This window comes from Homo sapiens, chromosome 17 (genome assembly GCF_000001405.40).
Source record: "Homo sapiens chromosome 17, GRCh38.p14 Primary Assembly".
In the NCBI taxonomy this organism is placed as follows: Eukaryota; Metazoa; Chordata; class Mammalia; order Primates; family Hominidae; genus Homo; species Homo sapiens.
The window spans coordinates 47,132,124-47,146,290 of NC_000017.11; the positions used below are offsets into that span (position 1 = coordinate 47,132,124).

A 14,167-nucleotide genomic window follows, 5' to 3' on the forward strand; every position below is an offset into this window, starting at 1 on the left:
TTTGGGTGTAATAGGCTCCAGAATACTGTTTCAACACAAAAAAGGACCAATTTTTATCACAGCAATTAAATCAATAACAAACATATTTCAAAAGGGAGATTAATAGAGTATTAATGTTTAGAAAGCTACTTACTACTCCAATGTGGCAAAGTAAAACTGAACTTTGAGGGTTGATATCAAGCGCTTTTTGGAAATGCATTTCTGCAAGGCTGAATTTTTCTTGCTTGTAATAAATCATTCCTAAACCATACCTGAAAGTATAAAACAAAGTATAATTTTAAAAATATAAAGTTTAGGTTGCTAATTTAGTTCAATTAGTAAAAGAACAAGTATAGAATCTGGCATTTTAATAATCCAGTGGAATACTGGTGGTCTTAGAGGAGAGGCAAAAAATACCAGTTATGATAAAAATCATTAAAGCATTTTATTTACTTATTTTTAAATAAAAAAATTTTTTTTTGAATTAGGGTCTCACTCTGTCACCCAGGCTGGAGTGCAGTGGGCCAATCATAGCTCACTGCATCCTTGAACTTCCGGGTTCAAAGAATCCTCCAGCCTCAGCCTCCAGAGTAGCTGAGACTACAGGCATGAACCACAATGCCTAGCCATTAAAGCAGTTTATTATTATTATTATTATTATTATTATTATTATTATTATATTTTAAAGATAGCACCTCACTCTGTTGCCTAGGCTGGAGTGCAGTGGCTCAATCACGGCTCACTGCAGCCTTGACCTCCCAGGCTCAAGTGATCAATCCTCCCACCTCAGCATCCTGAGTAGCTGCAACTACAGGTGCACGCCACCAGGCATGGCTAATTTTTGTATTTTTTGTAGAGATGGGGTTTTGCCATGTTGCCCAGGCGCATATATATATATATATATATATATATATATATATATATATACACACACACACACACACACACACACATACATATACACACACACACACACACACACAAACACACACACACAAATATACATATATATATATATATATATATATATATATAATATATATGTATTTTTTTGAGACAGAGTTTTGCTCTTGTTGCCCAGGCTGGAGTGCAATGGTGCAATCTCGGCTCACCACAACCTCCACCCACAGGTTCAAGCAATTCTCCTGCCTCAGCCTCCCGAGTAGCTGGGGATTACAGGCATGCACCATCACGCCCGGCTAATTTTGTATTTTTAGCAGAGACGGGGTTTCTCCATGTTGGTCAGGCTGGTCTTGAACTCCTGACCTCAGGTGATCCGCCCGCCTTGGCCTCCCAAAGTGCTGGGACTACAGGTGTGAGTCATGGTGCCAAGCTGTTTTTTTGTTTTTTTTTTGAGACGGAGTTTCGCTCTTGTTGCCCAGGCTGTAGTGCAATGGCATGATCACAGCTCACCACAACCTCCGCCTCCCAGGTTCAAGCGTTTCTCCTGCCTCAGCCTTCCGAGTAGCTGGGATTACAGGCATGCGCCACCACACCCAGCTAATTTTGTATTTTTAGTAAAGACAGGGTTTCTCCATGTTGGTCAGGCTGGTCTCGAACTCCCGACTCAGGTGATCCGCCCGCCTCGGCCTCGGCCTCCCAAAGTGGTGGGATTACAGGCATGAGCCACCACACCTGGCCTACATATATTTTTTTTCTTTTTTGAGACAGTCTTGCTTTTTGTCACCCAGGTTGGAGTGCAGTGGTGCAATCTCAGCTCACTGCAACCTCTGCCTCCTGGGTTCAAGCGATTTTCGTGCCTCAGCCTCCCAAGTAGCTGGGATTACAGGCATGTGTCACCACGCCCAGCTAATTTTCTTGTATTTTTAGTAGAGACGAGGTTTCCCCATGTTGGCCAGGCTGGTCTTGAACTCCTGGCCTTAAGTGATCTGCTTGTCCCAGCCTACCAAAGTGCCGGGATTGCAGGTGTGAGCTACCACCCCCAGCCTTCTTATATTAACATATTTTTAATTTTTTGTGGAGACGAGGTCTCACTATGTTGACCAAGCTGGTTTCAAACTCTTAGCCTCAAACAATCCTCCCACCTTGGCCTCCCAAACGCTAGGATTACAGGCATGAGCCACCATGCCCAGACCATTAAAACATTTTAAAGAGTCACTTTTACAAGCAAAAACAATCAAATCAAATCAAATCAAACTATGATAATAAGGAAAAAAGAAACCACACCCCTAAACCCATATAGATTTTTTTTTTTTTTTTAATTCAACGTCTTGCTCTGTCGCCCGGGCTGGAGTGCAATGGCGTGATCATAGCTCACTGCAGGTAACCTTGAACTCTTAGGCTCACGCAATCCTCCCACCTCAGCCTCCTGAGTAGTTAGGACTACAGGCATACACCACCATGCCTAATTGTTTTTTTTTTGTTTTGTTTTGTTTTGTTTTGTTTTTGAGATGGAGTCTCACTCTGTTGCCATGCTGGAGTGCAGTGGCACAACCTCCACCTCCCAGGTTCAAGTGGTTTTCCTGCCTCAGTCTCCCAAGCAGCTGGGACTACAGGCACGCATCACCACACCCAGCTAATTTTTGTATTTTTAGTAGAGGCGGGGTTTCACCATGTTGGCCAGGATGGTCTTGATCTCTTGACCTCATGATTCGCCCATCTCAGCCTCCCAAAGTGCTGGGATTACAGGCGTGAGCCACCGTGCCCGGCCTTAATTGTTTTCTTTTTTTTTTTTTTTTTTTGTTAGGGAAGGGGTCTTGCTATGTTGACCAGGCTGGTCTCAAACTCCTGGTCTCAAGTAATCTTCCAGCTTCAGCTTCCTAAAGTGCTGGGCTTATAGGTATGAGCCACCATACCTGTCATATTCTAGATTTAACAGCTAATTTTTACTGAGTAGTTATTACATGTGTGCCAAGACCATTGCTAAATTATCTCATTTAATCCCTAGAGGAATCATAGGTACCATTATCATCCTTATTTCGAATAAGGAAACTGAAACTTAGAGAAGTTAAATAACTTGCTTAAAGTTATACAGCTAATAAAGATTCTAACCAGGTTCTTCCTTAATGATTCTAAAGGCTGAACTCCTAACAATGCTATTCCCACATTTCTGTTTTATATTATTATAATTATAGCATACATAGTGTCATGTTTGGCTTCCTTGTCCCCCACTTACTGTTATCAAAAGCATGCTCCTATACTTATAGACCTCAAAATTACAATTTCTAAAGGCTATGTAATAGTGTATTAGGTTAATATGCAGGTATTTCTCCTGAATTTTCAAAATGTCAAATGAATATAGTGTGGATGGTTTATATTACGGAGACTTCTCATGGCCATAACTAGATGATGATGATGATGATGATGATGATGATGATGATGATGATGGGGAATAAGCATCAAATGAATAAGAAAAAAGCACAACATATCTGCTTTATTTGAGTGGCTTTATATATCATTATACTTGTGTTATAGATGAAGAAAAGGTATTAAACACTATGCTAATGATAGTGAAAGTGAAAACAAAAGAAAGGCTATCTATTTTGTACTTAGAATAAAGTTGCTCAGTATTTAGTTACCTAAATACGTCAGCATTTAAACTCCTCCTAGTAAAAGCTTGCCAATCTGAATAATCCTCCTTTAAACACAATTTTTGATATGGTTAAGTTTTTTAAGAATGCAACTCCTGCAAAATAGCTGAACAGACAATACACATTTAAAAAAAAAACAACACAAGGATCAACCAGACTTGGGAAAAAATCAAAAACAACACAAGTCTTATTAAGAACTGAGTTCCTGGCCGGGTATGGTGGCTCATGCCTGTAATCCCAGCACTGGGAGGCCAAAGTGGGTGGATCATGAGGTCAGGAGATTGAGACCATCCTGGCTAACATGGTGAAATCCCGTCTCTACTAAAAATACAAAAAAAATTAGCCGGGCATGGTGGCAGGCACCTGTAGTCCCAGCTACTCGGGAGGCTGAGGCAGGAGAATGGCGTGAACCTGGGAGGCGGAGCATACAGTGAGCCAAGATGGCGCCACTGCACTCCAACCTGGGTGACAGAGCGAGACTCTGCCTCAAAAAACAAACAAACAAACAAAAAAAAAACTGAGTTCTTAAAATATTACAGAGAACATAGCTATCGGAAGAGACAGCAGCATTGGCAAGTTGATTGTTACATTGGTCAGCAAAAGCTAGCACTATTTTTTTGGCCATCTTTCAGGCAATGTAACTACTACTGCAAAATGAGACATAATCCATTAACAACATATTCACAAATCAAAAAATGTTTTAGTAATATAATGCTTCAGATTTAGAAGCAAATAGAATGATACAACTCAACTGCTATAATAACCCCAAAGATAACCGTATCTGACAAAAAAACTACCACAGAGTTATGGCTTCAGAATTATACCTTATCTTGATATTTAAACTATTAAGTCAGTCCAGAAAAATACAATAAATGTCAACAGTAAGTATGGTGTTGAGGCAGAAATAGGACCAAACTTTTTCATATCTTATTCAGTTGATAACAATATGACCTAGGTAGTAATTTCCTATGTGTCTACTTATACACAAGTACAAAAAAGTAAAATAGAGATACTGCTAAATAAAAGGGTACACTAAGTTCTTAATAGTAACTCAATAAACCAGAACACTGTCAAAAAGCAGCAACTAGTAAATTTTTTCAATTTTTTTTCCTATTATCCAATAAGTGAATTATGCTATTCCTTTCCAATTTCCCAAGCACTTTTCATCCCAATCACCATTTCGGTGTTCGAAGAAAAAGCAACAAAGTAACAAAACTAAACAAACAAAAAACAACTACAGTATCTGCAAAAGTTTGGTAGAAGGCTGAAACTGTTGAGTATAAGGATCTGGTATTCTATTATCATTAGTTAATTTAAGAGTTTGTTAAAGACGTACATTTCATAAGAAAACATTTTAGTTAGAAGTTATTGACCAGTATGTACCATCCCTAAGTATAAGTAACCAAATTCATGATAATAAAGAGCTATCTAACAAGAAAAATTAGTAAGTACCAGCACCATCAATACGACTTTGTCTTTGTACTTCATTACCACTTACCATGCATTATAATGTCTAGGATTGACTCTGATAGCATTTCGAAAACAAGCTAATGCTTTGTCCAATTCTTCAGTTAAGACAAACTCATGCCCTAATAGAGTATAGGCATAAGCGTAATTTGGATCAACTTGGATAGCTCTCTGGAAGAATTTAATTGCAATATCATGTTCCCGTTGCAGACTGAAACAGTTCCCTGCAGCACACCAGGCCTTAAAAAAATGGGAACAAAAACCAAACAGAATTAAAATTTTACTTTTTCTAAAACCAAATCTATGACTAAAATCAAGCCTCAACTTAGAACAGAAAGACAAAAATGGAGGAGCTTCAGTAGATACTCAATTCTAATTATTCACAGATTCCATATTTGTGAATTTGTCTGATTGCTAAAATTTATTTGTAAAACCAAAATCAATACTTGCAGTGCTTTCATAGTCATCAAAAGGTATGTTCTCATTTGAGGTTGAATAATGTGACTCTACCTTCTTGTTTTAGCTCTCATGCAGAGATGACCAGGGACAGAAACTCTGTGGGCTAGTTTAGTGTAGTGCAAGAAGCTTTGGCTCTGGGGACAGTTGGACAGAATTTGAATCCCACTGCTGGCACTTTTAAGTAGGATGGCTTCAGGCAAGTCACCTCTGAACCTCATTCTCTCTCTTTTTTTTTTTTTGAGATCTGGTCTTGTTCTGTTGTCCGGGCTGGAGGGCAGTGGTGTGATCTTGGCTCAATGCAACCTCCGCCACCTAGGCTCAAGTGATCCTCCTGTCTCAGCCTCCCGAGCAGCTGGGACCACAGATGCCAGCCACCATACCTGGCTAATTTTTGTATTTTTTGTGGAGAAGGGTTTTGCCATGTTGCCGAGGCTGGTCTTGGAACTCCTGAGCTCAAGGAATCCGCCTGCCTCAGCCTCCCGAAGTGCTGGGATTATAGGTGTGAGCCACCACACCCAGCAGCATTCTCTCTTTTGTAAAGAAAATAGGATCTACCAGGATGAGTTATTTTTAGGATTCAAGATTATAATCCACAATCTATCTCTGTTTCAAACTCTCCATCACTCCCAGGAACATTGGTTCAGTAGCACTAATTCAGTGTTCATGTTGACTACAGAATTACCGCAAATAATGGGAGTTGACTGTGTTTAATTCTAAGCTTAGATATGTTACAAAAGTATCATTAAATATTTTTGAGATGCAATGAAATACAATCTTACAAGATTAGAGCATGTACATTAATTGCACCTATGTCTTACAATGACAATACTAATTTATTTTAATTTAAAATTATTAATTTTTTCAATCTATGTAACTTCTGCTCAACGAACCCTAATCTTGGTGACAACAGCAAATTTAACGTAGTCAAATCTCGATAAATCCTGAATGAAATAGCTGCTTTGTGATTTTTCTATTTGTGAATCTGCACCACACATTCTAGGACTTTCTCTTCCTCTCTGAGTCCCTGACTAGAGAGAGAGGAAAAAAAAGAAATAAGCGTGGGTGACACTAAATAGTGTTTGAATTGCTTGGTTCATCTCTATCTGTTGAGGGTGATCAAAAAGGTAACTATATAAGCAAAGTATTTTGGTTAACATACCTCTGGCGAATTTTTATCCATGTCTGTTAAGTCTTTTGACAGAACTGAAAGAGCAACATCTTTTTGAAGATGCCAAAGTGTTGTAGAGTAGATCTCCATGCCTTCAACTCTATAATTCTCAATCCTTCTAACCTCTGAGAATATTCTTTCAGCCTGAAATAAAAAAAACTAGTAAGAGAAAACAAGTTGATACAATTTATATATATACACAGGGAAAGCCCTGGTCATTATCTTCACAGGATCTAAATGCTGCCTTGTATTATGGTTTTTATGTGAATGAGTATTAACACAAGGACAAATTCAGCAATCTACTATGGCAGGTCAAATAGTGATGTAACCATATTGACAGTCAACCTAGTATTTATATACAAGCCATGGTAAGAACATGAACTCTGAAAAGGAAATTTGAGTTTCTACCAAAAAGACCGAAGAGAAATCTATACAAAGCTACAATTCAAAAGAAAAGTCAATATTTCCTTCTCAAAAACCTCATTTCCAAGTTTTAATAATGGCATTACAGAATAACTCTTTTTTTTTTTTTTTTTTGAGATGGAGTCTCACTCTGTCGCCCAGGCTGGAGTGCAGTGGCGCAATCTCGGCTCACTGCAAGCTCCGCCTCCCGAGTTCACGCCCTTCTCCTGCCTCAGCCTCCCAAGCAGCTGGGACTACAGGCGCCTGCCACCACACCTGGCTAATTTTTTGTATTTTTTAGTAGAGACAGGGTTTCACCATGTTAGCCAGGATGGTCTCGATCTCCTGACCTTGTGATCCACCCGCCTCGGCCTCCCAAAGTGCTGGGATTACAGGCATGAGCCACCACACCTGGCCAGAATAACTCTTTTAGGAAAGATGATGGAAGAATGATTTCTGTAACATAAAATCTATTTTTGAACAATTTTTACCGAGAGGTTGTGCCAGAAAATTTAGAGGGAAGAAACAGGTTAAGCTGGCTATCAATCCTATGGTTATAAATCCTATTGAGCCCTGAATATACACACCAATATTGTGTCTGCTAGGAATCATAGGCCCTACCTATTAATTATCCTTTCCTTTGCAGCACTCTCTTGACTTCAGGGTCTCTCCTCAGCTGCCTCATCAATTTTTTTCCTCATCACATTCACAGCTCCCAGAACTGTGTTTCTCTCCCTCTAAAGTTTGAGGATTTAGGTTATATAAAATCAGTTTCCTAGTTTATCAATTTACCAAGTTCAAAATTCTCAGCTGCCAGAAAAGGTCTAGGTAATAAAAAAAAAAAGAAAGGAAAAGAAATTTTCACAGTTTAGTTTATAATAAGGAATATCTGGACTATTCTTAATGAAATGAGTATGACAGAAAATAAGAGCATTTTAAAACTGAGTGCTTAATTCCAAGAAGTGGTCATATGATATATAGGAATAGCTTAACGATTTGTAACTTCCTTGCAATCTCTTAAAAGTTATAAAGGTAAGTGTGCAGCCTTGACCTGCAGGGCTCAAGTGATCCTTCCACTTCAGCCTCCCAAGTAGCTGGGACCACAGGTGAGTGCCACCACACCCAGCTAATTTTTTCATTTTTTTGTAGAGACAGGGTCTCACCACATTGGCCAGGTTGGTCTCCAACTCCTGAGCTCAAGTGATCCCCCTTCCTTGGCCTCCCAAAGTGCTGGTATTATAGGCATGAGCCACCACACCTGGCCAAGTTTTTCATTCAGGCATGGTAACAAGATAAAAGACCTACCAGCCAAATATAGGTAGGTACCTTTTGGTTTCAAAGTTTTCAGAATCTGTTGCTTCCTCTGAAAAATGATTATGGCATAGACAAAAAGAAAAATGGGAAAAAAACTCAGAAATTAAGTTGAAACAGAGGCTTTCTTTAATTAAATATTTGGGTCACCACTATAACTAGGGGAAACAATAAAATTCATTTATGTTAAAGTAGCTGTGAAACAATAAATTAGAAATAATTTTTTAAATGGCTTTTCCGAACACAGCTCTTGCCTGTCTGTGTATATGCTACATACCAGTAAAGGACCATAATCGAAACATGGGTTTTGTAGCAATGAATAAGACTTTCTGTCTTCAACTCTCTGTTCTGTACTATTCAAAATTAAATTATATGAATAGGTATCCTCTGTATGTATTCCCTGTGGGAAAGAACACCTTTCCCCTAGATCTTTGCATGGATCATGAAGGGAAGAGTAACCTTCCCTCTGAGTACATAAAAACAAAAACACCATACTTCATTGTCTCCCAGTTTCCTCACCATGCTTCATTTTTCTTCATGACTTATTGCTACCTGTTCTTATACATTTATTGGCTTATAATCTGTCTGTTGCTAGAATGTAAGCTCCACAGAGGCAAGAAATTGTCTGACTAGCTGTAATACAGAGTCTAGAAGAGAGTCCAGGATATCATATGCACAGAGATATATATTGAATAAATGAACTGAAAGCAAATTAAGCAAAAAACGAATCATATCAACTTTAATCCATATTAGAGATATTTTATTAATATATAGGTTTCTAAAAGGTTTCTTTTTTTAAGTTGGGGGTGGAGAAAATGCTTTGGGAAGAACTAAGGGGTAATATAAATTGGGAATTAGAATTTTCTTTGGCTTTAGGTTAATCATTCTCTCCTTTTCTGGTATAGACAGATAACTTAAGCAACAAATTTAATTAAAATCCAAAGAGTAAAAAGCCTTGTATTAAAGACATTGTGTCCTCAATTCAGCACAATTTTCTTTATAGCATTCTTCAAGCTTATAAAACATATTCGATGTCAAAAATTCACCCCAGTAATTAACTCTGTATATTGCAGAAAAATAAATAAATCCTATTACATGGTAAATATAAATATGTATTTTCAGACACAACTGAATAGGACACACTCTACGTAAGAATGTCTGGATGACTTGGGTCTCTATAAACCTATTCCGAGAAGTTGCAAAGAATTTAAATTACTCCTTAACACAAGAAAGAACTATATCTATAAATTATAAATACTGACAAAATAAATATATAGACATTACATAATAAATACTGATCTTTTAGATCTAGCCTTCTTAAGCATGGGCATTTATTTTAATGAAATTGAAATTATCTCTAGAAAGGCATATATAACCATTTTCTATACTTACTTGCATGTACTCTGAAAGTTCAAAATAGGCCCTTCCAATTTGGCACAGTACCCAACCAGTATTGTAGTGGTGAGAAGGTAGATGGCTCAAAATATTTATAGCTTCTTTGCAGTTGTATGAACACAAAGCTAAATAACCTTTCCCCATTTCACGAAGAAGGCTCATCAAACCTTCTAGGAGAAAACAACATAGTAAACAAAGGAAAAAACGCAATAAACTAGTCTGCTTCTCTAGAAAAGGTAATTACAAACTAATCTATTAAAAATTCCAACATCTATATAAAAAACAATGAAGGTACTGTAATGAACATAAAGAAATTTACTTAAAATAAGTACATAATAAAATACAAAGATAATATTAAGCATTTAAAACAGACCTGCTGCTGCTTTTTGTAGATTAAAGGCCTGAATCTGAGGTGTGATTGTGGATATTTTCCCTTCTGAAATGATGGAAGAGTCCAATTTTGTAATTTCCAGGCTATCATTTATGTTAGGTTGAGTTATTCCTCCTTTATTAGTTTTACTTTTTGTTTTTCTGTTTGGGATTTTAGGTGGAAACTTCATTTTTAATTTTTTGCTATTCTCCTGTAAAAGGGAAGAAATTTCACACCTGTTATACTCATGTATTTTAGATTTCTCCTCAGCCCTTTCTCCAGTATTAGATATAAAATAAATGTACAATCTTGATTAATTCTATATTTTTTTCAGAAGAGAGTTTATAAAAACAAAGGTCTTCAAAGTCATTTAATTTTAAACACAGTAATTCTGAACATAAATTACATTAACTAATAGTGACTAAGGTGTGTCAGCATTAAGTGTAGCCCTCTTGTGAAAGTATATCAAACTCTCATTTATTATTTAAAAGTAAGAAAATAAGTAGATGTAATTCTCAGCTCACCGCAACCCAACCTCTGCCTCCCGGGTTCAAGCGATTCTCCTGCTTCAGCCTCCCGCGTAACTGAGATTACAGGCATGAGCCACCACGCCCGGTTAATTTTTATTTTGGAAGAGACTGGATTTCTCCACGTTGGTCAGGCTGGTCTCGAACTCCTGACCTTAGGTGATCTGCCTGCCTTGGCCTCCCAAAGTGCTGGGATTACAGGCATGAGCCACCGTGCCCGGCCTTTGTTTTGTTTTTGGGACAGGATCTTATTCTGTTGCCCGTGCTGGAGTGTAATGATGTAATCAGAGCTCACCACAGCCTTGACCTCCCCAGGCTCAAGTGATTCTCCCACCACAGCCTCCCAAGCAGCTGGGATCAAAGAGTACTACCATCCCAGCTAATTTTTTTTTTCAGAGATGGGGTCTTGCTATGTTGACCAGGCTGGTCTCAAACTCCTAAGCTCAAGTGATCGGCCCACCTTGGCCTCCCAAAGTGCTAGGATTACAGGCGTGAGCCACTGCGTCCGCCGGGTCTCCAGTTTTTTTTAACTTTTATTTTCAAATAATTTTAGACTCACTCTTCTGCAAATGATAACATGTGACATAACCATAGTATATCATCATACCCAGGAAACTGAAATTAGTACAATATTATCAGCTAAAGACCTTACATGGATTTCATCAGTTTTTATATAAACCCGTGTGTGTGTATGTGTGTGCATAGTTCTATAAAATTTTATCACGTGAATGGATCTGTGTAATCAACCACCACAATCAGGATACAGGACTGTTGTACCACCACAATGCAATTCTTTTGTGCCATGATTTAATAGTAACATCCTCCCTAGAGGCCTAACTCCTAATAATCACTGATCTGTTGTCCATTCCTATAATTTTGCCATTTCAAGATTATTCCTATGTCATTTTTAACTTGAGAAAAAAAATTTTTTAATTAAAAAAGAATATTATATAATATTTACCAAAGGACTAATTAACTTCACAAAAATCATAGATGGCCCTCTAAATTAAAACATTTTAAAATTCGAAATAGTCTCTTTGTTAACTTATTAGGAATGGAGTCATCAATGAACAGAAATGTTAGCAGGCGAAGCATTAAGTAAATGTGACATACAGAAATCTTTAAATTACCTTGGTTGTGGAGCTGTCACTAGTAAAGAGTCGTGAACTTCTTCGAGGCAGTGCGTTTGGGGGAGATGTAATAGTGGGGCTCAATACCTGAGGTGTTGTACTAAAAAAAAATTATAAAGGAAGACATTAATATTTTACTTGATTTATGACCATTAACCATTGTTTCAATTTGGGTATATTTTAAAAATATACATTAATTATATAAGTACTCTAAAGTTGATGAATTTGATCAGTTCTTTTCGTGGTTTCTCTATGAAAACACAGTATTTAAAAATGAGGGACTCGGACTGGCTTTCCTGCTTCTCAGCTTGCAGATGGCCTCTTGTGGGACTTCACCTTGTGATCATAAGTCAATAATCCTTAATAAACTTTCCTTCATATAAAAAAATAAAAATAAAATGACTCGTTACTACAAAATAGTAAAGATTATAGCATAGATCTTCACTCTCTCTGAAATTCTTAATTTGAACTAAAAATAATCCTCATAAAACTCTGGATCGACAAATGATAAGCACATCTATAAATCAATTATTTTTACCCTTCATTTGCAACTACAACAAGTTAGAGAAAAAAGAAAAGACAGTTGGGCAAAGATAGTCTAAATGTGGGGTATTTGTTAACAAGTAAATACCACTAGAACTACTAATATTTGAGAAGTTATTTCCCTGTAAATTCAAACAGCTATATCAAAGGCTTATTCTCTTTAGAGCGAAAGGAGCCTCTGTACATTTTTACTTTAAAGGCAAACCCTGAGATATGAGAATTTCAATCTTAGCAAGCAAACTTAAAATCTGAAACAATCTAGAATTGACAGTGGGTAAACTTGTGGACTAAACTATCTAAACTTTATAATTTATGGGAAATCCTACTAGCTACCTGAGTCTGGGTCAAAGAATTTCAGAAAATAAAAAGATATATATTTTCATCTTTTACGATATGTACATATGTAATATGTACAGATACCTCTGTATATGCATGTGTGTGTATATCACACACACACACACACACACATAAATCCTTTTAATCTGCATCTGATAAACTAGGAGTTTGATAACGAAAGGCTTCCAAAGTTCAGAATTAGACTTCACTTCATATGGAGCAAATGACACACAACCTTTCTTGGATGATTTAGCTAAAAGTACTATGCCATTCTAATCATCTCTAAAAAAACTTTCTAAATAGAAAGAACAGACTTCCGCTAGTCATGACAGAGTAAAATGGAATAAATTTATTCTCCCATTTCAGATAACTACAAACTGAACCAAATATATGGAACAATGGTTTTCAGACACTGGACAATAGGCAAAACATTTCCGAGGACAGTTCTAGGGCCACCTTGCAGGAAAAAAGAATGCAAAATAGAGCTCAGTGGTCCCACTGTGTTGAAAAGAAAATGTTGAGAATTTGAGAAAGCCAAAGCAGCCAGAATTTGCAAGGCAGAGCACCAGAGAGAAGAGAGCTACAAAGAGGAGACCTACAAAGATCTGCAGAGGGCTTCCCTAGAGTCTTCAGTTGAAAATTGATCAGTGTAGGTGTTTGAGTGTTATATAATAAAGAATTTGTCTGGTCCACGTCCCAGGCTCCTGAGATCTACTAAGTCCTTGGAATTCCTCAAGTGACAGGGATGTCTTTGTTATTCATTATGAGCTCCTGGGACCGTGCCTGAATTTATGCTAATGAAGTAACTCCTAGATACTTTCTGGATGGGTGCTGGCTGTGCTGTAAAGGTCAACCATGTGGCCGGGCATGGTGGCTCACACATGTAATCCCAGCACTTTGGCAGGCCAAGGCAGGCGGATCACGAGGTCAAGAGATCGAGATCATCCTGGCCAACATGGTGGAACCCCATCTCTACTAAAAATACAAAAATTAGCTGGGCATGATGGCGGGTGCCTGTAATCCCAGCCACTCGCGGGTTCAAGTGTAATCACTTGAACCCGGGAGGTGGAGGTTGCAGTGAGCCAAGATCGTGCCATTGCATTGCAGCCTGGGCGACAACAGCGAAACTCTGTCTCAAAAAAAAAAAAGTCAACCATGTGATTAGAGGGCTGGGGCTTTGAGCCAGCAACACCAGCCTGAGCTCCTCTGGGAAGGAAATTGAGTTCAATCATGTGGCCAATGATTCCATCAATCACACCTACATAATTTAAAAACCCTAATAAAAATTTTGAACACCAAAACTTGGCTCAAATTCCTGGTTTGTAAACATACTGATGCATTGGGAGGGTGAGCCCAGAAAGAAGACATGAAAGCTCTGTATCAGGACCCTCCCATATCTAATCCTATGGATCTCCTAATTATGTCATCTACAATAAAACTGTAATCATTAAGTATAGCACTTTCCTGGACTCTGTGAGGTGCTCTAGCAAATTACTGAATGTAAGAGGGTAGTAGGAATCCTTAAATTT

General features: G+C 37.8%; 1 protein-coding gene and 1 pseudogene across 18 annotated transcripts in view, besides 1 other annotated feature; both read right to left on the bottom strand.

Annotated features, from left to right (window-relative positions):
* Positions 1-14,167, bottom strand: part of CDC27 (cell division cycle 27) — a 71,593-nt gene that overhangs the window by 14,421 nt on the left and 43,005 nt on the right. For 11 of the 18 annotated variants that reach the window (XM_017025485.3, NM_001353050.2, NM_001353049.2 and 8 more), the window contains 6 exons: positions 11,760-11,859; positions 10,106-10,313; positions 9,730-9,902; positions 6,616-6,768; positions 5,029-5,237; positions 134-251 (listed from right to left, as the gene is read on the bottom strand). In XM_017025485.3, coding sequence (XP_016880974.1) covers positions 134-251; positions 5,029-5,237; positions 6,616-6,768; positions 9,730-9,902; positions 10,106-10,313; positions 11,760-11,859 — 961 coding nt within the window. The remainder of the gene's footprint in view (positions 1-133; positions 252-5,028; positions 5,238-6,615; positions 6,769-9,729; positions 9,903-10,105; positions 10,314-11,759; positions 11,860-14,167) is intronic. The other 7 variants (NR_148340.2, NM_001353051.2, XM_017025484.3 and 4 more) reach the window with 1 other exon arrangement.
* LOC112268192 (protein GVQW1-like) lies at positions 3,348-5,022 on the bottom strand (annotated as a pseudogene).
* Positions 3,807-5,006: an enhancer, noted in NCBI's record as "BRD4-independent group 4 enhancer chr17:45213296-45214495 (GRCh37/hg19 assembly coordinates)". NCBI's record gives its function as "activates an origin of replication core promoter dependent on BRD2, P300/CBP, MED14 and CDK7 cofactors, and independent of BRD4, by STARR-seq in HCT116 cells {active_cell/tissue: HCT116}" and the evidence as "EXISTENCE:reporter gene assay evidence [ECO:0000049][PMID:35650434]".